A 22,251-nucleotide genomic window follows, 5' to 3' on the forward strand; every position below is an offset into this window, starting at 1 on the left:
ATCCAAGGCTACTGTGAACACCTTTACGCACATAAACTAGAAAACCTAGAAGAGACAGATAAATTCCTGGAAAAATACAACCCTCCTAGCTTAAATCAGGAAGACTTAGATACCCTGAACAGATCAAAACCAGCAGTGAGATTGAAGTGGTAATTAAAAAATTAGCAACAAAAAATAATTCAGTACCAGACGAATTCACAACAGAATTCTACAAGACATTCAAAGAAGAATTGGTACCAATCCTTTTGACACTATTCCACCAGACAGAGAAAGAAGGAACCCTCCTTAATTCATTCTGTGAAACCAGCATCACCCTAATACCAAAACCAGGAAAGGACAAAATCAAAAAAGAAAATTACAGACCGATATCCTTGATGAACATAGATGCTGAAATCCTTAACAAAATACTAGCTAACTGACTCCAACAACATACCAAAAAGAGAATCCACCATTATCAAGTGGGTTTCATACCAGGAATGCAGGGATTTTTTAACATACACAAGTCTATAAATGTGATACACCACATAAACAGAATTAAAAACAAAAATCACATGATCATCTCAATAGATGCAGAAAAAGCATTCAACAAAATCCAGCATCCTTTATGATTAAAACCCTCAGCAAAATCAGCATACAAGGGACATACCTTAATATAATAAAAGCCATCTATGACAAACCCACAGTCAACATAATACTGAATGAGGAAAAGTTGAAAGCATTCCCTCTGAGAACTGGAACAAGCCAAGGATGCCCACTTTCACCACTCCTCTTCAACACAGTACTGGAAGTCCTAGCCAGAGCAATCAGACAAGAGAAAGAAATAAAGGGCATCCAAATCAGTAAAGAGGAAGTCAAACTGTCACTATTTGCTGATGATATGATCGTTTACCTTGAAAACCCTAAGGACTCCTCCAGAAAGCTCCTAGAACTGATAAAAGAACTCAGCCAAGTTTCCAGATACAAGATTAATGTACACAAATTAGTAGCTCTTCTATACACCAACAGCAACCAAGCAGAGAACCAAATCAAGAACTCAACCCCTTTTAAAATAGCTGCAAAAAATAAATAAATAAAAGACTTAGGAACATACCTAACAAAGGAGTCGAAAGACCTCTAGAAGGAAAACTACAAAACACTGCTGAAATAAATCACAGACAACACAAACAAATGGAAACACATTCCATGCTCATGGATGGGTAGAATCAATATTGTGAAAATGACCATACTGCCAAAAGCAATCTAAAAATTCAGTGCAATCCCCCTCAGAATACCACCATCATTCTTCACAGAATTAGAAGAAAGTAATTCTAAAATTCATATAGAACCAAAAAAGAGCTCACCTAGCCAAAGCAAGACTAAGCAAAAAGATCAAATCTGGAAGCATCACACTACCTGATTTCAAACTATACTATAAGGCCATAGTCACCAAAATAGCATGGTACTGGTATAAAAATAGGCACATAGACCAATGGAACAGAATAGAGAACCCAGAAATAAACCCAAATACTTCCAGCCAACTGACCTTTAACAAAGCAAACAAAAATATAAAGTGGGGAAAGGACACCCTTTTCAACAAATGGTGCTGGGATAATTGGCTAGCCACCTGTAGGAGAATGAAACTGGATCCTCATCTCTCACCTTATACAAAAATCAACTCAAGTTGGATTAAGGACTTAAACCTAAGACCTGAAACTGTAAGAATTCTAGAAGGTAATATTGGAACAACCCTTCTAGACATTGGCTTAGTCAAGGATTTCATGACCAAAAACTCAAAAGCAAACACAATAAAAAGAGATAAATAGCTGGGACCTAATCAAACTAAAGAGCTTTTTTTTTACAGCAAAAGGAACAGTCTGGAGAGTAAACAGGCAACCCACAGAGTGGGAGAGAATCTTCACAATCTATACATCTGACAAATAACTAATATCCAGAATCTACAACAAACTCAAACAAATCAATAAGAAAAAAACAAACAATCCCATCAAAAAGTGGGCTAAGGGCATGAATAGACAATTCTCAAAAGAAGATACACAAATGCCCAACAAACATATGAAAAAATGCTCAACATCACTAATGATCAGGGAAATGCAAATCAAAACCACAATGTGATACCACCTTACTCCTACAAGAATGACCATAATCAAAAAATAAAAAAACAGTAGATGTTAGCGTGGATGCAGTGAACAGGGAACACTTCCACATGGCTAGTGGGAATGTAAACTAGTACAGCCACTATAGGAAACAATGTGGAGATTCTTTAAAGAACTAAAAGTAGAACTACCATTGGATCCAGCAATCCCCCTACTGGGTATCTATCCAGAGAAGAAGTCATTATTTGAAGAACATACTTGCATATGCATGTTTATAGCAGCACAATTCACAACTGCAAAATCATAGAACCAACCCAAATGCCCATCAAACAAAGACTGGATAAAGAAATTGTGGCATATATATGTGATGGAATAGTACTCAGCCATGAAAAGGAATGAATTAACAGCACTTGTAGTAAGTTGGATGAGATTGGAGACTATTATTCTAGGCGAAGTAACTCAGGAATGGAAAACCACACATCGTATGTTCTCACTGATATGTAGGAGCTAAGCTATGAGGATGCAACGGATGTTGGGGACTTAGGGGGAAGAGTGGAAGGGGAGCTAGGGATAAAAGACTACAAATATGGTGCAGTGTATACTGCTCGGGTGATATGTGCACCAAAATCTCACAAATTATCACTAAAGAACTTACTCATGTAACCAAATACCACCTGTACCCCAATAACTTGTGGAAAAATTTTAAAAAAATAAAACATATTTTTTTAAAAAAGCAATTTTATCTGTTTCCAAAGCCTATACACCTTTCTTTATGTGGCTTCCAAAAGTAAAAAAGACCGCTGAGGGGTTGTTATTACAGGCTGCTTTCTGCCCAGGGCAAACTTTCACAACTAGAATGCTGAAAGGAAGGAAGGTTTTGCCTACAGTCTTGATCATTGCATTCTGAGGAAGAGGGACGTAGATGAATAAGAGGAAAACAGGGGCATGCAACAAGTTAAAAAGTCAAGCTTAAGGACAAGAGAAGAGTAATCAAAAGGGAGAATTATAAAAAGAATTGCTTGGTTTGACTCTGAAAGGCCTTTCTCCCAAGTGGTAAAAATAATGCTTACAGAGTGTTCATGATGGCCAGCCCCTCTTCTAACACCTTTGCATCCTAGAAACTTATTTAATCCACCAACACTCTCGAGATAGTATTAGAACTGTCCACAACAATAGGTGACAAAACTGAGGGCACACAGAGGTTAAGTACTATTTTTCCCATGGTCTTACAGGAACTAGATTCGAGAACAGGAATTTGAGACCAGGGGCCTGAGTCTCAGTTCACACTCTTAACTACCGGACATGGTGCCTTTAGAATAACTATGAGTGGGGAAGGCCTGACTTAAGGAGATGAAAATCTCTAATTTGAGGTCCAAGATCCCTACCCTTAAAGGACTGAAGAAGTTCACAAACCATGGAGATAACATTGTGACCAACACAGGCAATGGTCTGGAACCACTGGTTAATTAAGTCGTTCATCTCTTTGTGATCTCTCTAAGCCACTGGTTCCTGGCCTTAGGTACACATTAGAACCACCTGGGGAGTTCTTACAAAATGCTGCTGCCTGGGCCTCATGCCAGACTGATTGAATTGGAACCTCTTGGGGTGGGTCCTCAGCATCTATGTTTTTTTAATGTTCTCCAGGTGATTTCTAATGTGCCACCTGGGCTGTGAACCACTGATGCAGGTAACTGTGGACGAGGTCATCACTGAGTGGAGTGCCAACTCTGCCCAGCAGCTGAAAGCCTTTCACATGGCCTGCAAAGACATTCTCACAAAGCCTCTTCAGCCTGCAAACACCTCAAGGACAGGCATTATGTCCCATACAATTATTTGGGTATTGTCCATGACATCTATCATGATGACAGCTGAGTCATGGAGTCAGAAGCTGGCTGGGACCTCTCCGCTCATTGTATCCAGTGTTTTTGAATTCCAGGAACTTACAGAAGGGCCAAAGTGGACTGCTTTGGGTGGTTGGGCATGGAGATGTGAGTCACTGGTTTGGTGAAGTTTCCAGGGAACTCGAAATCAGAGAAGGTCAGCAAGACCACCCAGGAAACAACACACAATGTCTTCAGCTCCTCGGACAGGTGGGATTCTTTATTATCAAGCTCCAGCTCTGAGAAAAGCCCCTGTGTCTAACCTCAAATCTGAGAGAACTAAAGTGACGGCACTACCAATTTAGAACTGCAAGACGGAACACTGCTGCCCTCAGGCAGCTGCCATGTCCTCTTCTCCTGGGTTATGTGAGCACGTGTCCGTCTCTCATACTAGACTTTAGGAACCTTCAAGAATAAGCACATTGTGTCACATTTCTTTGTATTTAATGCCACACAACCACACACCTATTACACAGTGGAAAACTAATAAAGGCTTCTTTGGTAGAATAAATACTAGGGCTGACATTGCTTGCTCTCTGAAGTCCTTTGTAGTGGTAAGTGTTTACACAGAGGCCTGGGCATGTACAAGTATGGACTTCAGATGAAAGAAATTGAAAAAAGAATACAAATAGCTGATAGATTTGTGAAAAGATTCACATCCTTGCTGAAATTTAAAGGAAAGCAAATTTTTTTAAAAATGGAATTTTTTTGACCTATCAAACTGACAAATGATTTGGATCAGTAATACTGATCCAGTAATACTGAAGGCTAACAGGAGTGTGGAAAAGAGACTGTTAGTGAGAACATGAATTGGAATAGCTTTTTTAAAGGGCTTACTGCATGACAATTATAAGTATGAATACTTTGGCCCAATAATTTATTTCTAAAAAAACTATCCCAAGAAGATTACTGGATACCTGTACAAAATGCTGTTTATGATTTTTCAAATGGAAATAACTTAACTGTCTTTAAAAATAGGATTGAGTAAATAAATTGGGGTATACCCACACAATAGAATATGCTACTGTTGTGAAGGATGAGGAAATCTTTAAATGGCTAACGTGGAAAGACATCCATGATATGTTTTTAAATGAAAATCCCAGATTACAAAGTAACATGATTAATATGGTCAAATTTTTACCAGAATGGGAATCTGTAATATACAATATGGTATAGCAATATATAGATACACAGATGATAGACAGATGGATAAATGAAATTATCTTCAAGGATAAACATTATCCTGTTAGTCCAGCTGCTGGGTTTATCTGAAGACATCCATTTACTACCACACATACATCTCTATTATTTAATTTCTTTAACAATCTACATTGGTTGCTTGCTTTTACAATCCAATAAATCTATTTCTGTTTCAAAAGGCAGACCAAGAAGTGGAGGCATTAGTAAAAGAGGTTACAGTGTTCTGAGTGAACTCTAGCCCAAATCGGGTAGGTGTGGAGGACAGCCTCCACAATCCTCTTCTCAACATTTCTTTCTTCGACACTAAGGTCTTTATGGGCAGGCACCATTAATGTATGATGGAAGGAAGAAAAGGACAGGGAAGGAAGGGAATGAGAGAAGGGGACCAGGAATCAGCTTTCGGGGTCTGCCTCGACTTAGGGTTTTTCTGGGTTACAGGGAAGGACTTTCAGTGCTAATAGAAAACTCATAGGAAAATGGGGATGAGTTGATCACCTTAGCAGGAGGAAGGGAGATGCCTATCTTTCCCTGGTTCGATAAGCTATTATACCTTCCAACAGCCCATTCTGCAGCAAAAGAATTGGCTTCTAGATGTCAAGAAAGATGGATTCCAATCCCACCTCTGCCACTAAATAACTTTGTGACCTTTAGCAAGCCACTCACCCTCCCAGGGTCTTAGCTTTTTCCTGTAAAACAATGGAGTGGAACCAAATGGTTTGAAAGTCCCATGAAGCTCTGTCACTCAGCACTGAGGCCTCTGTCTAGACTCTGGCATTCTTCCAATAGTGTTTCTTATGAGAATGTTCATTGTTTCCTGACAGCAGACCTTTAGCGTTTCAAAATTAAAGACAATGCCTTTCTGTTGATAGATGCCCCACCCCAGGCCTGGCATGGTATTGGACTTTCATGAGTTGGCTGTCCAGTGGGCCCTCAGGGGAGCAGGTGGTGGCTGTCTTCCCTAACTCACTCCTGGACAGTCCAAGTAGGGCCCAGCTTGGCAGGAAGAACTTGATTAATGTCAAAGGCTTTTAGTAAGCAAGTGAAGCATTTTAACTGGGAGGAAACAAAAGCAATGAGTGACAAACCCATTAGCCACGCCACTCAAAGCCAAATGAAAGGAAGACCACGATGTGCTGAAGCTGGCTCCCACTGACACAGGAGAGTGGGCTACTCCTACCCCTCTGAACTCCACTTTCAGTGGTCACCTTGGTGGCTCGAAATGAGCCGTGATGGGAGTATTTACACTGCAGAAGCTGGCAAACGCTAAAAATTTAGGATTTATTTCTCCCCTCCCTCCCTTCCCTTCCCTCCCTCCCTCCCTCTCTTCCTTTCCCTCCTTTCTTCCCTCCTTCCCTCCCTTATTCCTTTCCTTTTCCTTTCTTCCTTTCCTTCTTCCTTTCTTTCCTTCTTCCTTCCTTCCTTTCTTCCTTTCCTCTCTTTCTTTTTCTTTCATTTTTTTCTTTCTTTTTCTTTCTTTCTTTCCTTTTTTTCTCTTTCTTTTTTTCCTTCTTTCTCTTTCTTTCTTCCTCTCTTTTCTTCATTTCTTTCTTTTTCTTTCAGAGAGAGAGAAATTACCAGGGCCTATCACTGACTGAGTTAGTTCAGGGAAAGAGGAAGCTCCTCCCGGCCTTGGGCTCCTTCTTGAAGATGCAGGAACAGCCTCAAGCTGAGCTACTGAGCTTGCCCTTTCTTGAGTGAAGACAAGGGAGTCCCTCCATCCAGGGCTAGGCAAGTGTCAGAAGTCAAGTGATAGAAGGTGAGAGGAGGAGAGGGAGGAGAAAGAGGGAAGACTAAGCACATGTTAACAGGCCTAATCAAAACATTCAAACCTCTCTTAGCCATTCATTGGTCATCTGGGGTGGTAGTGAGTTCAAGTCCAACATAGCAGGTGTTCAGGCAACCATTTTGCAGAATGATATGAAGACAGAGGGAGGCTTTGAAAGTAGAAAAAGCATGAACGTTTGAGTAAGAGTGGTTTAGGCTTGAAGCCCAACCTGACCATAAACCGTCTGCTTGACCTCAGGTAAAATTATTTAATCTCCGTGACTCAGTGCCCAAATTTATTCCATGGTGATAATCAAAATTTAATTAATAGAATTTGTACATGCTTGGCCCATAGTAGGTATACTGGCTGAGTAGAATGTAGTAACTGAACTATAAAAAAAGATATCTGATACCTGACACCTGTATACTTTAGAGACAGTTTTTCAGCCTGACTATGAAGTTCGCAAAGCAATCTCCACTTTTGATGGACATAAATTCCTCAGTGACTCTTCACAATCTCTAAGTTAAGCTGGTGCACGAACAAGTTTTGCCTTCAAAGTGACCATACCAATAAAGCAGTACCCCCTGGTGATGTGGTCTTACAGCCCCCAGCAGTCTTCATTCAGGCCTAATGGGTACTCAAGCAAGCAGAAGCTGGGATACTGAGTATCAGGTTTGGGGAAGATGTGAGGTTCTGCTTGAGACCTTCAAAACTTCTATCCATTTGGGTACATGATTCCCCTTCCTTCTTGAGCCACAGGTAGCTCATGGTACCTTCTAGAAACTCAGAGGAGGTTAAACCCCATGGTCTGGGAACAAAAGGTAAAGACAGAAGTCAGAGCTGGGACTTAACGTCTCTGTTGCTACATTGGGGAAAAGTTTCCAAGTCTCTACCGAAAAAAAGCAAGAGCTGGAGGAGAACTCCATAGGCTCCCTGAGTCCCATGTAGCATAGAGATACAAGATGGCCTCATCAGGACTGGGACACCTGCTCCTACGAGGAATTGCTGACCACTCTCTCCCACCCCCACCACATGGGAGAAAAGAACAGCAAGGACACCAATAACCCTGGTCATAATGGACCCACAAACAGGCCACAAGCCAAGAGAGTCTGTGCCATGTCTCCTTGTGTGCTAACTCCCTGCATACTCCATGATACCCACCTTGTTCCATAGGTGCTTTCTTAAGCTGGGTACTCTGACTCCAAGAGAGGTTTAGGGACAGCGCCACAGAGGCAGAGTCTGCCCTCCCACTCTTACAAAGCTGATGATGGATGAGTTGGGGATTCTTATCTCCACTGCTCGTAGTCCAAAACATGCCCCTCTAATTCCATGGCCCAGTCGTCAACAGATTCCCTGAAACTCCAAGTTCTGAAGCTGTGGGAAGATATGACGTACTTCTCAGAAGTCCAGAAGTCAGTAGGTCCCCTTTTGGCTTCTCAAGTGTGCACACACCCTTGTTACATGCAGCACTCTGAGTGATGAATTGTGATTAGGCCAGATATCTCCATACCCCTGGACAATATGTAGAATAGAGTAGATAAGTGATATATCCAGGTATTGAGATAGTCTAGGGGCCGCAGGGATGTAGGCCTAGATTCCCTGATCTGTCCCTTGGTCAATTACATAACCTTGAGGCATGTCACTGGCTCTTGGTGGGCCTCATCCTTCCCATATGTAACTTCTGTGGATTTTATCCATTTCTAGTCCAACACATCCACTTCTCACCATCTGCACTGTTCTCTTCTGAGACCATTTTTCCAGCCCTCTAACTGGTCTCCCTCATCCACTCACCTTCCCTACCGATGATCAGAGAAAAAAATCCAATAAGGACACTTATAAAAGAAGAGGGGGCGGGGAGATAGAAGGAAGAAACGAATAGAAAATCATTACTTAGCCGGGCTCGGTGGCTCACGCCTGTAATCCCAGCATTTTGGGAGGCCAAGGCAGGTGGATCACTTGAGGTCAGGAGTTCGAGACCAGCCTGGCCAACATGGTGAAACTCTGTTTCTACTAAAAATATAAAACTTAACCAGGCATGGTGGTGTGCACCTGTAATCCTAGCTACTGGGGAGGCTGAGGCACAAGAATCGCTTGAACCAGGTAGATGGAGGTTGCAGTGAGCTGAGATGGTGCCACTGCACTCCAGCCTGGACAACAGAGCGAGACTCCATCAAAAAAAAAAAAATCATTAAGTATAGTCTCAAAGACATTTTCTAGGGAGAGAAAGAAAGATTCTGGCTAAGAAAAAAAGAATGTCTAAGTGGAAGGATGAAGGTTGTCTTTTTTCTTAAAAGTCACATGGCAGGCGCAGGCTGACAACAGGTGGCGAGAAACAGCACAGGGTGGGAAGTGCAGAAGGGCAGGCACTGGCCACGTAGGCTGGGGACAGCTGATTCAGGGTGAAAATGAAAGACAAAGAGCAGCTGTGCTTTGTGCTGAAAGGAAGCTAGGGGGTTTTTGCAGCAGGGCAGGCATCGGGGCGAGAAGTCCTTTCCCAGTCAGTAGTGCTGGTGCTGGGCTGGGGACGCGATTGCTGCATAGCTGTGAGTCTGCCTCAGCACCGCTCTGTGCATCGCAGCTCTGCCTCCCTCTCAAGGTGCCAACTCAGTCTCCGTCGTGTGGCTCCCAGATGGTCCCCATTTCAATGCTGAGCCCAGCTGTTGCAGCAGCCTGTTAAGAAGAAGGGCATTTTGGGGCTTGCTGTGTTGTTTTTAAAAAACCCTGTGAAGAAGGCTGTATTTCCCCATATTTTATAGATAAGGAAACTGAGGCTAGATAAATTTTTAAGGCGGTACAGTTAGAACGTGGCAAAGCCAGCATAGAGCCAGCTGCTAGTGCTTTAAAAACTTGAATTTTTACCCCAGGTTCTAAAAGCAATATATCCTTATAATGAAAAATATACAAACTAATAAAATAACAAAATGAAAGTCACCCATAACCCTCTACCTAGAGATGAATAAAAGTTGTGTATATTTCCTTCTAGTCTTTTTAATTAATTCCTCTGCATATTATTTTTACTTATTTATAAAAGTGCAATTATATTATAAAAACCATTGCAAAAATCTTCGCTTCATGTGATGGACGATTTCTCTCAGGCATTTTTATATTCCTGAGAAACTCATTTTATTTGTTACATAGCAATACATCATAGGGCTACACCATAATTTATTTGGTCTTTTTTCTACTCTTGGACGTTTAGGTTTCTTCCCACTTTGGGGGCTTAGTGGATAATTTAAGAAATGTTTTTTTAACTGTGCGTGCCCTGGTACTAAATTTTGTAATTTCAAAGAGAGGTCAGCGTAGACACATAGAGTCAATGAGAAAAAATATACATGGAAAACCATTATGCCAGGTAACGTATTCACAGATCAAAGAACCAGGAGGTGATAGGAGAAAATGAGATGAATGCAACTCGGTGGGATTCCGCAAAGTTCCATGGAGTAAATGACATTTGATTTAAAATAGGGGTCAGGAAACTTTTTCTATAAAGAGTCATATTGCAAATATTTGAGATTCTGCACACTCTATAGTCTCTGTTGCAAGTATTCAAGTCTGTCATTGTCATATGGGGCCTAGTGTGCCCACCCTATTGAAATCACCCCGAAAAGCAGCCATAGACAATACAGAAAGAAATGTACAAGTATGTCTATGTTCCAATAAAACTTTATTTTCAAAAACAGGCAATGGGCTAGATATAGCCCACAAGCTATAGTTTGCTGATCCCTGATTTGCACACCCAAAGTAGAGATAGGTTTTGTTACGACCTTATCAGAGGGAGAAGGACTGTAGGGAAAGTTAGATATTTTATGGTTGGCTGGTATAGGTTGTGGCCAAACCATATGGGGTCTGAGAGCCAGGTTGTGGGATGCCAAAAGTCTATGAACTTTCTGTAGCAGACACAGGATCCATTAATTTCTATGGAAACATTTTCAAGTATCGGGGACCCATAATGTTCCCAGAATGATTAGCATCTCTGAGAAATTATGGGAAGGAATCCTAGAAACCTAGAAAGACTGATTTTGACTTACCTACTTTATTTTCTTGCTTTTCTTCATTAGCATCTTATAATTCACTCAGCTTGTCTATCTAGAGGTCAAAACTTATCCAGTCAGAAGAAACGGGGTTGGGGCAACAGTGGGAGGGGAAGGAGCTGTTTGCTGGCTGCCTCTCATCGGACTGTGAATCTCAGTGCCTGTGATGGAGTAAAGTGAGAGCAGCTGGCCACCCAGGTGTGTGAAGTCAGCCAGCTCCCTGGGCTGAAGAACAGGCCTCCTTCTGCGTAAGGCTCTAAATGTCTCTCTCCAACTGGACTGTCTGCACATGCAGCCAATATACGGCCTTCAGTTCCTTCTCTCCCCAGAAACCTCATCCTGGTCTAAGACACTGGCTCTTAGACCAAGATGAAGTTTCATCTCCCAACAAGTAGCATTTGCATCACTTGGGAACTTGTTAGAAATGCCAAAATCTCAAGCCCCAACCCAGACCTACTGATCAGAAACTCAGGAGTGTAAGAACCAGCAACCTATATTTTAACAAGACCTCCAGAGGATGGTGATACACACTGTATTTTGAGAACCACTGGCTAGGATCTCTGTGCTGCCATTAGAGCTCTATCCCAAGGGGCTAGGCACTGAACTAATGAACATTGCATGCAATGTAATTCTAACGATCCCCAAATCTAGTTATTATTGCCCTTTAACAAATACAGGCACCGAGGCTCTGACATGTTAAGAAATTTGATCTGAACCTGGGTCATTTTTATTCCAAACCCCACATTATTGACCATTCTGCTCTAGCACCCTCTCTCTATGCATAGGGCTAGGAGGTCTGTCTTTACAAGTGTACTTTTCCAAAGACTGTCATGATTTATTTTCTTAATAACATTCACTGACCACCTCTCCCATGCCAGGCCCTATCCCAAAGTATAGCGTTTATTGTTAAGCTCCATTCTAGTCCAAACCCTGCGAGTAGGTAATTTGCTTTAGCCCCTACAGAGCAGAAAACACGCTTAGGAAGGCAGCATTACGTGTTTCAGGGCCACTGTAGCTCTGAGCATTATAAAGTTTCAAATGTGGGTGCCTTGCTGGCCCAAGTAATCAGAGTGTGGCTTTTTTCTTTCTTTCTTTCTTTTTTTTTTTTTTTTTTTTTGAGACAGAGTCTCCCTCAGCCACCCAGGCTGCAATGCAGTGACGCGATCTCGGCTCACCACAAACACCATCTCCAGGGTTCAAGTGATTCTCCTGTCTCAGCCCCCTGAGTAGTTGGGATTACAGGCACCTGCCATCACGCCTGGCTAATTTTTGTATTTTAGTAGAGACAGGGTTTCACCATGTTGGCCAAGCTGGTCTTGAACTCCTGACCTCAGGTGATCTGCCCACCTCGGTCTCCCAAAGTGCTGGGATTACAGGCGTGAGCCACCGCGCCCGGCCAGAGTGTGGCTTTAAAGTGAGGAAGAAGCTGCTCTGGGAATGGACCATGTGCTTGTGAGAGAGGAGAAGTCAGCACCCTGAGCAGAGCTTCATAGGCTCGGTGAGCCTAAATGTGGAAGGTCTGGGCATCCAGCTGATTGAAACTCAGGTGGCCTGTGTGTCACAAGCTCTGATGCAGACTCCCAAGACCTCCCATGGCTCTGACGCAGATCATAGAAAAAGCCCTTTCCCAATGTCCCAGGTTTGAGATCAGTTTCTTCCACAAAATTAGCTGTGTGGCCATGGATAAGTCACTGGCCCTTTCCGAGACACAGTTTCCCCATTGGTACTAGACTCAATCAGTGGGTTTCAAACACTTTTTAAGTTGCAGAAAGCTTTATCTAAATAATATCTGACACCAGATTCCAACACATTAAATAGATAATAAAGGTAGTTGCTCTAGTTAATTGGAGGAAGGGAAGGGAGGAAGTGAGGAGCTGAAAACCATTAGCCTTTCCTGACTCCCTGCAGTACATATGGCACCACATGAAGAAGAAGCTACAACAGCCCACCCAATCTAGCCCCCATCACCATGTGATATCCCCTGTTACTCTCTGCCTTCCTCCTCTCCAGCCTTCTTTCTATTCCTCAGCCGTCCCAGTCACACAGCCTCCTTAGAGCCTTTGCACCGGCTGTTATCTTGGTTCAGAATGCTCTTCCTCCAGACATCCTCACCTCTTTCAAGTCTTTTTCTTTTTCCTTTTTTTTTTTTTTTTTTTTTTTTTGAGACAGAGTCTTGCTGTCGCTCCGGCTGGAGTGCAATGGCGCCATCATAGCTCACTGCAACCTCTGCCTCCCAGGTTCAAGTGATTGTCTTGCCTCAGCCTCCCAAGTAGCTGGGATTACAGGTGTGTGCAACCACACCTGGCTATTATTTTTTATTTTTATTTTTTTTTTGAGACAGAGTCTCACTTTGTTGCCCAGGCTGGAGTGCAGTGGCATGATCTCGGCTCACTGCAAGCTCCGCCTCCCGGGTTCATGTCATTCTCCTGCCTCAGCCTTGCGAGTAGCTGGGACTACAGGTGCCTGCCACCATGCCTGGCTAATTTTTTCGTATTTTTAATAGACACGGGGTTTCACCATGTTGGCCAGGCTGGTCTCAAACACCTGACCTCAGGTGATCCACCCGCCTTGGCCTCCCAAAGTGCTGGGATTACAGCTGTGAGCCACCACGCCTGGCCCTCTTTCAAGTCTTTTGCTCACATACTGCTGGCTCCATGAGGCCTAGTGTGCCCACCCCATTAAAATCACAGCCCTCTTCACTCACTAGCACTTCCAATCCCCTCTCCCTTCACTCTACTGTTTTTCCTTTCTCCAAGCTCATATCACTTTCTACCTTCATATCTACCTTTTATTGTATATATAGTTTATGGCCAGCCTCTCTCTGCTGGTAGGCAACATCCTGAAAAAAGTATATCCCAGGTGCTTAAAGAAGTGCCTCAGAATGTAATAGGCCTTCCATACATAATTGTTGTTATGAAGAATGGAGCTTTGAGGGCTCTCATTGTTCATAATTTGTCTTCCCATGTGGTCGCCCAACCTAATATGTGCTTCCACTGTCCTGAAACTCATTCATTTTGTCTGGTGCAGAGCTAGAGCCCTAAGGGCACCAAAACCCAGCTGGTCTTTCTGACTCCATGAGGCTCAGAGCAAAGCCACTTGCTTGCTTCACACCTTCAACAACCTTGTATTATAGTCAGAGAGTGAGACAGGAAGAGTGGGAAGGGCACAGAAGCAGGGCTGGAAAAGCAAGAAGGAAGGAGGAGGGAGGAGAGGGCAGGCAGTACTATTGTGGGTGGCTTAGCGCAACACAAGATCAGCACCTGCCATGGGCCAGTTCTGCAGCTGGCCATTTCTCACGGGCTGTCTCATCTAGCCTCCTGAAAACACCATATATTGCAGGTGATAACTAAGGAGGTGAACCCCAGAGAAGTGATGTAATTTGCCCAAGATGGTCCTGTGAGTAAGGGAGTACCTGGGATTCGGATCCAGGCCATCTGGCTCCAGAGCCTCCTCTTTCCTCTCTACCGGTATTACCCACAGAGCCACAGTGGAGACGTGATGAGTCTTTCTCAGGGAGATGGGAAAGAGGCCAGGAATCCACTGTGTGTAGCTGTGCTTTCTCTGCCTCATTCCTCTCCTGCAGCCACATGCTCTGGTCTGCAGTTCAGGGACCTCTGGCCCTGGGCTCCTCTCCTGTGATCGAGCCCCGGGAGGCAGCTGCGCTCATGGTCCTTGTGATCACAGTTCCTGCAATAACCTAGGAGAATGTTTGCCCACGTCATACCCTCTCCCTTTGGTGTCCGCGGAGGCTGTGAAGCCAGCAACACGACGTTTTGTCTGGCTAAGCTTTGGGGCTGATTGAAAGTCTTCAGAACCTGCACTCCTCCGGTGCTGCTCTTCCTGGAAACGGTTACCATGGAACACAGCCACGATGCAGCCTTCACTGTCAGAATTAATGAAAGTCAGAAAGCTATTAGGGGAAGGATTTTTTTCCTCCCTCCCTCTTGCACATAATTCTACTCTTCAGTGAGGTGTTTGCATGTCTGCCCTGCTTGTGAGATGTTAATTGCGTCCTCATTGAAATTCCTTGCCCACTGCCATCACCTCCTTTTGAGCTCCAGCCCCTGAAGCTGGCCTTTTTGAGATAATGAAGCTAAGTGCCCAGAGAGAGTGCGTCCCAGCCTCTCTGAAGAAGCATGCATCTTATCAGGCCACATCACAGCCGAAAAGCATTGTGTGGCTCCCAGCGACCCCAGAACATGGCACTCAAAGACTCTCAAAACCAGGTTGCAGTTGCACTTTGCAGGCTTCCTCCTTCCTCCAGGACATCCTGGGTTAAAGTTATAGAGGGCCAGCTCTACTCTCTGATGACATCTTCACATCTCTGTGCCTCTTAGGCCCCTACAGCTTCTGTCCAGAATGCCCTCCTCCTGGCCTCTCCGTTTCACCAGCTCTCAGTGTTCAGCTACACTGGCCATCTTCTCAGTAAAACCCTCCATCCCTAGAGAAGCATAGGTCCAGGTATACCTATGGCTCCTCCCTGTTCCCCAGGTCACATGTCTCATCACAACTATTTGCTGCAAACCTGCCTTTCTCTCTAAACAGTGAGTTTCTTCAGAGCAGAGGTAGGCTCTGATTCATCCTTCAATTCCCAGAGCCTAGCACTGTACCTGGCACTTCACAGATGCCCCATAATGCCACTGCTTCCTTGCTCCTACTCCACCTGTTAATAGAAGGAAAGTAAACACAGCTGAGCCCATGAGGGGGCGAAAGAACATAGCGAATATAACGATGGATTGCTGTGTAGACTCTACCCACTCTCTACTGCCCAACCCACCGCAGAGGCACTGAAAAAGAAAAGCCAGGTCTGGGGCCCTAGGAGCTCATTCTGGCTGGTATTTATAGCAAGGTAATTAGCTCCCTTCCCTAGCACCCCCGGAAGTGCTGGGAGACAATCTAGAAGCAGCAATGAGGAAAGCAACATAAAGGGATTGCCATAGAAACATGGGGATGGGGCTGGGGGCACTTGGGGGAAACAGAAGCAGCCCCCAGCACTTTCTGTGTTTCTCACCCGTAAGTGCAGGAGCTCAGTCCTGAAAGGAAGATTTCCCAGGGGCGGTCTCTGGGCTCTTCTTTCTGTGGCCAAAGGCACCCCTCCTCCACTCAGCCCAGGCTTGAAAGGCACTATCTGGTCCCACCACAGCAGACCCTGGGTCTGCAAGAGATTCTACATCATGGAGCAGAAAAAGTCCCCCAAGTTCTCCTACCTTGGACTCCTGGAGAAGCTTATCCTCACCCAGATAACTGAAACTTCCCTGCCAGAGCTGGAGAAGGCTGGAGGCAATTTTCCTTCCTAGTAGTGACGCAAGGGAGTTATGACAGTGGATTGGATCCTTTCCATCTTGGTGCCCCTCACCTGGACTCTTGCAATCATGGTCTAACTGCTCATTCTGTCTCTGTTCTCACCTCTGTTCAGTTGAATCTCCACATTTCCACCAGAGTGATACTTCTAAAATGCAATTCTGATCATGTTATTTTCCTGCTCAAAATTCTTCAGCAGCTCCCCACAGTTTTCAGGATAGAAATTCTTATAATTTTGCATGGAATGCAGGCTCCATCACGCTTTGCCTCTCTGGCCACTGCCCACTCCCTCCCCCCAGTATGAAGCCCATGCAATTTTCATCTCAGTCATACTAATCAATGTGTGGTTTTCCAAACTCATCTCTCTCTTGCCTTGGGGACTTTGTCCATGCTGTTCTCACTCCCTCCCCTTCAGACTCCTCCTCACCTTTTAAGTCTCTGCTCTAGGACTATATCCTTTCAGGGAAGGCTTCTCAACCTCCCAGGTAGACCAGGTACCTCACTTGTTGCTCCATTGGAACTTCTGTGTTCCCACCTAGTGAATCTCAAGGCAAGTCAGAATCACTGGATTTCCTGATGGCCTCTCCAACTGTATGTCAAGTCCTTGTAGGCAGGGCCATATTTTCTTGATTTCTGTACCCTAATACCTAACACAGGACTGACACCCAAATAGGTGATTTAAATGTCATAGGGTTGGCACTAGAATGAGGTGAGTGAGCCACCCAGGGTGCAGAATTTAAGGAAATGCTCTCAAATTTGTGCAAGACAGGCTGGCATGAATTGTCATAAGGGGATTTTCACCCTTGCTGTTTTGCTTGTCAGGTCACAGCAAGTCCTGGGTAGGTGAAAGGGCATCAACGATTTGGGAGATGGATAGAGGAGGCTGCACTTTTCTGGAAGACCTTGACCTTCTAGCTCCATGCAACACTAAAAAGCATCTTCCACTTTACCGGAATTTCTATGGAAATCTCCAACTTCTTGCATGTAGGGTAAGATAGGGAAGATGATCCCCACTTAAATGCAGTATCATGAACTCCTGAGCTGATGGCTTCTACACTTAGCTAAAGTGGACTCTATGAATACTGTCTGTGTCTACCATGGATTGCTATATTCAAGAGCTATCCACCTAGCTTTCTGTAATATGCAAAGATAGTTTCTAAAAGGGACCATTAATAGCCTCTTGAAAGGAAAAGAAAATACCACCAAAACTATGATGCACTGCCAGGGACATCACATAAAACCACTCAGATTCCTCATAACACAACTCCAGGGAGCACCTTCATATAGGTTGCAATGTCAATTGTGCCCCTGGATTTGTGCAATGTGGTGGCCATTTCCCCATGATCTCTCAGCTATACATGAACTCAGCCCAGCTTCCCTGGCACTAAATTCAAAACACTCAAAAACATCCTTACCACCATCCACAGTGAATGAGAAAGGGGAACAAACTTAGAGCTGGTGAGCTGGATCCAGACTCCACAAATGGTCAGCTTCTCTCACTTTCCAACTGGATGACCTTAAACCAAATCTCTTTAATCTGCTCTGTGAATGTGAGGCCCCATGTTGGGCTCACAAAAGAACATTAGCCTGAGAGGTACCTGCAGAGGGAAGGATGGGCAGCCCCTCTAAAGTAGGCTAGGTGAAGGGAGAGTCTTGCCTCATGGGAGGCAGAAGGAGATTATGAGGGTTAACAAATGTGTCAGAGAACCCGGGCACCTTAGGTTCATTTACTTTGATCCCTTCAGTTTTCAGACATAGGAACTGAACGGAGCAATCAAGACAGTCCTGCCCAATATCATTGAATGAATTAGCAGCAAGGAAAGGTCCAATATTGCCAGGCCAGGGCTTATTCAGACACATAGTTGCTTTATTTTAGTGATGGAGTGGGTCTGGCTGACAGCTTTTGTAGATCTTTATTCAGAGTCAGCTGGAAAAATTAGTCCCTGCTCATTGAAGATCCTCCCATTCCCAGAGTGAAGACTCCCTTCTTCTAAAAATGGGCCAAGAGACAAGGAATAAAGTACCTAGTAAGGCTTTGCCAAGCAGCCTCTATTGGCATCTATCTGAATCGCTGGCTTATAGCCCATGAAGAGATGCATACTTTCTGGAGTCAAGCTTCCCTAAGTGAGCTCCAGGGGCCAATTGCACTGAAACCCCCTGGGGCTTATTAAAATCTGGCTTTCATAGATGCACCCCAGATCTACTAAATTAGAGCCTAGGGGTGGGAGGATACCATTAACAAACTCCACATGGGATTTTGGCACACAATAAAGTTTGAGAACCAACACCCAGACATTATAGTGGTAAGAAGGAACCTAATGGGTATCAGATATCTACTTTGCTAGGCACTAGATAGATAGATATCCTTAGAAGTGATAGAAAAGGCAGAAACAAGACATTATTTCTTTGCCACACTTAGGGAAGCTTTGCACCAGAGGGTACGCATCTCCTCCTTGGTTCTACACCAGCAATTCAGGTAGATGCCACCAGATGGTGCTGGAAAGAGCTTTCCCCAGCACAGGAAATTAAGACAATATTATTGGGCCCTTGGGTCATTGGATAGCGCTGAGAACAGCATCTAGAACCCACCACCTCAAAATCCTTCTCAAAGGGAGGGAATGCATCCTTGAACTTTCACTCAAGTTCGTACTCTCAGCCCTTAAGGCTCTGCACAGAATTTCACAAATTATAATTTGCTCTATCTTTTCCCACCTAAATTTTACCCTCTCTTCTCAAAACTTCTTCTGTCTTAACACTCCTGCTACATTCTTGGCTCTCCCACTTACTGGTTATATGAACTCTGACAATTTGTTTTATCTCTATAAGCCTCAGTATTTTTATATATAAATTGGAGATAATAGTTTCAGAGTAGTAGTAAGTATTAGAGATAATTGTAGCTCAATAAATGTTTAGTCTCTTCTGTACTTAACCCCATTTTCAGAACGACAAGCCCCTGTTTAAGAAACCCCAGTGGCTTTCTGGTCTCATTTGCTTCTCCATGACCCAAACTCTCCGATTTAAGTTCTCATCACACCTCATTCATGTCTGCTCCTGGTCCTTTGCTCATGCTGTATCTTCTACCTAGGATGCCCTCATACTTTCATCCACGAATACAAATCCCAGCATGCTTAAAGGTCTTTCTCAAGTTCTTCCTGCTGCTTCAGGAAGCCTTCTCAAAGTCCAGGCCAACAGACTCTTCTGTCCCCTCTGCTCCTTCAGGCACTCTCTCTGAATGCTCCACTCTACCTCCTGGAGATGAGAACACTAGAGTCATGGAAGTCAGTGATCTCTAGGTATTGGAATTTTATGTACAGAATTTTTTATTTTTTTGAGGACCAGCACCAGGCCACCACCTTTTATTTTGCCAGGTGAGAATATACTATTAAATCTTGTATTCTAGTATTACCATCGTATCACAAAACTGTGACATTTTAGTAAAATAAAAGTTACAAAGGGAAAAAAATCTCATACAAAAGCATTGTCCTTTAAACGGAATAAACTCCACTTCCTAAAATGCTCACTGCATTGCCTGTTTTTTGCTCCTTTTGCCTTGGACTGATAAAAATACTACCAAAGGCCAGCTTCTGCAAAAATGCGGGGGAGTCCCCAGTCCACTCAATCACCTGTCCCCGCCCCCTGGCAACATAATGACAACCTCCACAACAGTTTCCACTTACTGAACACTTGCTATGTGCTAGACCCTGTGCTAGGTACTTCATGCATTACCTTACTAAATCCTTTTGCACAACCTCTGAAAAATAGATCATTACTGCTACCACTTTTAAGTTGAGGCTTAGAAAATTTAAGTAACCAGTCCAGGTCACCGTGATGGTAAAGTAGTTGAGTTATGCTTACAGTAAAAGACAGTTTGACCCCAAAATCTGTGCTCCTTCTTCTGCTTCATTTCTTGTCTCCTACAATGGGAAGAAGTTTTTGAATGCAGGAGCATAAGGAGATATGCTTCTCTTTCTTTGTATAGTCCATACTCACAGCATGCATTTATTTGTTCTTGTTTTTTTTTCCTTTGCATGCTATTTTTTTTTTATCATTATACTTTAAGTTTTAGGGTACATGTGCACAATGTGCAGGTTAGTTACATATGTATACATGTGCCATGCTGCTGCACTGCACCCACTAACTCGTCATCTAGCATTAGGTATATCTCCCAGTGCTATCCCTCCCCCCTCCCCCCACCCCACAACAGTCCCCAGAGTGTGATGTTGCCCTTCCTGTGTCCATATGTTCTCACTGTTCAATTCCCACCTATGAGTGAGAATATGCGGTGTTTGGTTTTTTGTTCTTGCGATAGTTTACTAAGAATGATGATTTCCAATTTCATCCATGTCCCTACAAAGGACATGAACTCATCATTTTTTATGGCTGCATAGTAGTCCATGGTGTATATGTGCCACATTTTCTTAATCCAGTCTATCATTGTTGGACATTTGGGTTGGTTCCAAGTCTTTGCTATTGTGAATAGTGCCACAATAAACATACGTGTGCATGTGTCTTTATAGCAGCATGATTTATAGTCCTTTGGGTATATACCCAGTAATGGGATGGCTGGGTCAAATGGTATTTCTAGTTCTAGATCCCTGAGGAATCGCCACACTGACTTCCACAATGGTTAACTAGTTTACAGTCCCACCAACAGTGTAAAAGTGTTCCTATTTCTCCACATCCTCTCCAGCACCTGTTGTTTCCTGACTTTTTAATGATTGCCATTCTAACTGGTGTAAGATGATATCCCATTGTGGTTTTGATTTGCATTTCTCTGATGGCCAGTGATGGTGAGCATTTTTTCATGTGTGTTTTGGCTGCATAAATGTCTTCTTTCGAGAAGTGTCTGTTCAGGTCCTTCGCCCACTTTTTGACGGGGTTGTTTGTTTTTTTCTTGTAAATTTGTTTGAGTTCATTGTGGATTCTGGATATTAGCCCTTTGTCAGATGAGTAGGTTGTGAAAATTTTCTCCCATTCTGTAGGTTGCCTGTTCACTCCGATGGTAGTTTCTTTTGATGTGCAGAAGCTCTTTAGTTTAATTAGATCCCATTTGTCAATTTTGGCTTTTGTTGCCATTGCTTTTGGTGTTTTAGACATGAAGTCCTTGCCCATGCCTATGTCCTGAATAGTAATGCTGAGGTTTTCTTCTAGGGTTTTTATGGTTTTAGGTCTAACGTTTAAGTCTTTAATCCATCTTGAATTGATTTTTGTATAAGGTGTAAGGAAGGAATCCAGTTTCAGCTTTCTACATGTGGCTAGCCAGTTTTCCACATATGGCTAGCCAGTTTTCCCAGCACCATTTATTAAATAGGGAATCCTTTCCCCATTGCTTGTTTCTGTCAGGTTTGTCAAAGATGAGATAGTTGTAGATATGCAGCGTTATTTCTGAGGGCTCTGTTCTGTTCCATTGATCTATATCTCTGTTTTGGTACCAGTACCATGCTGTTTTGGTTACTGTAGCCTTGTAGTATAGTTTGAAGTCAGGTAGCGTGATGCCTCCAGCTTTCTTTTGGCTTAGGATTGACTTGGTGGTGTGGGCTCTTTTTTGGTTCCATATGAACTTTAAAGTAGTTTTTTCCAATTCTGTGAAGAAAGTCATTGGTTGCTTGATGAGGATGGCATTGAATCTATAAATTACCTTGGGCAGTATGGCCATTTTCACGATATTGATTCTTCCTACCCATGAGCATGGAATGTTCTTCCATTTGTTTGTATCCTCTTTTATTTCATTGAGCAGTGGTTTGTAGTTCTCCTTGAAGAGGTCCTTTACGTCCCTTGTAAGGTGGATTCCTAGGTATTTTATTCTCTTTGAAGCAATTGTGAATGGGAGTTCACTCATGATTTGGCTGTTTGTCTGTTATTGGTGTATAAGAATGCTTGTGATTTTTGCACATTGATTTTGTATCCTGAGACTTTGCTGAAGTTGCCTATCAGCTTAAGGAGATTTGGGGCTGAGACGATGGGGTTTTCTAGATATACAATCA

The 22,251-nt window shown here is 43.4% G+C and overlaps 1 protein-coding gene and 2 long non-coding RNA genes across 6 annotated transcripts in view, besides 1 other annotated feature; all 3 read right to left on the bottom strand.

The window, feature by feature from the left end:
* The window catches only part of LOC107987247 (uncharacterized), a 51,173-nt gene extending 42,996 nt beyond the window's left edge, over positions 1-8,177 (bottom strand). Inside the window, exon 1 of the long non-coding RNA XR_002958159.2 lies at positions 8,097-8,177. This is a non-coding gene — a long non-coding RNA (uncharacterized LOC107987247). The remainder of the gene's footprint in view (positions 1-8,096) is intronic.
* The window catches only part of ASIC2 (acid sensing ion channel subunit 2), a 1,143,682-nt gene that overhangs the window by 1,049,634 nt on the left and 71,797 nt on the right, over positions 1-22,251 (bottom strand). The gene's annotated exons all lie outside the window — the stretch shown is intronic.
* On the bottom strand, positions 9,364-20,262 carry LOC107985035 (uncharacterized). 4 transcript variants are annotated; one of them, XR_001752831.1, is made up of 5 exons: positions 20,123-20,262; positions 16,174-19,516; positions 15,577-15,629; positions 14,379-14,849; positions 9,364-9,605 (listed from the first exon to the last, which is right to left on the bottom strand). It is a non-coding gene; the product is annotated as an uncharacterized LOC107985035 (long non-coding RNA). The 4 variants fall into 4 exon arrangements; XR_001752830.1 differs by having other exon boundaries at positions 15,978-19,516; XR_001752832.1 differs by having other exon boundaries at positions 14,691-14,849; positions 15,577-19,516.
* Positions 9,371-9,500: an enhancer, noted in NCBI's record as "active region_12045". NCBI's record gives its function as "activates an Ori minimal core promoter by ATAC-STARR-seq in GM12878 lymphoblastoid cells {active_cell/tissue: GM12878}" and the evidence as "EXISTENCE:reporter gene assay evidence [ECO:0000049][PMID:35858748]".

This window comes from Homo sapiens, chromosome 17, assembly GCF_000001405.40.
Source record: "Homo sapiens chromosome 17, GRCh38.p14 Primary Assembly".
In the NCBI taxonomy this organism is placed as follows: domain Eukaryota; kingdom Metazoa; phylum Chordata; class Mammalia; order Primates; family Hominidae; genus Homo; species Homo sapiens.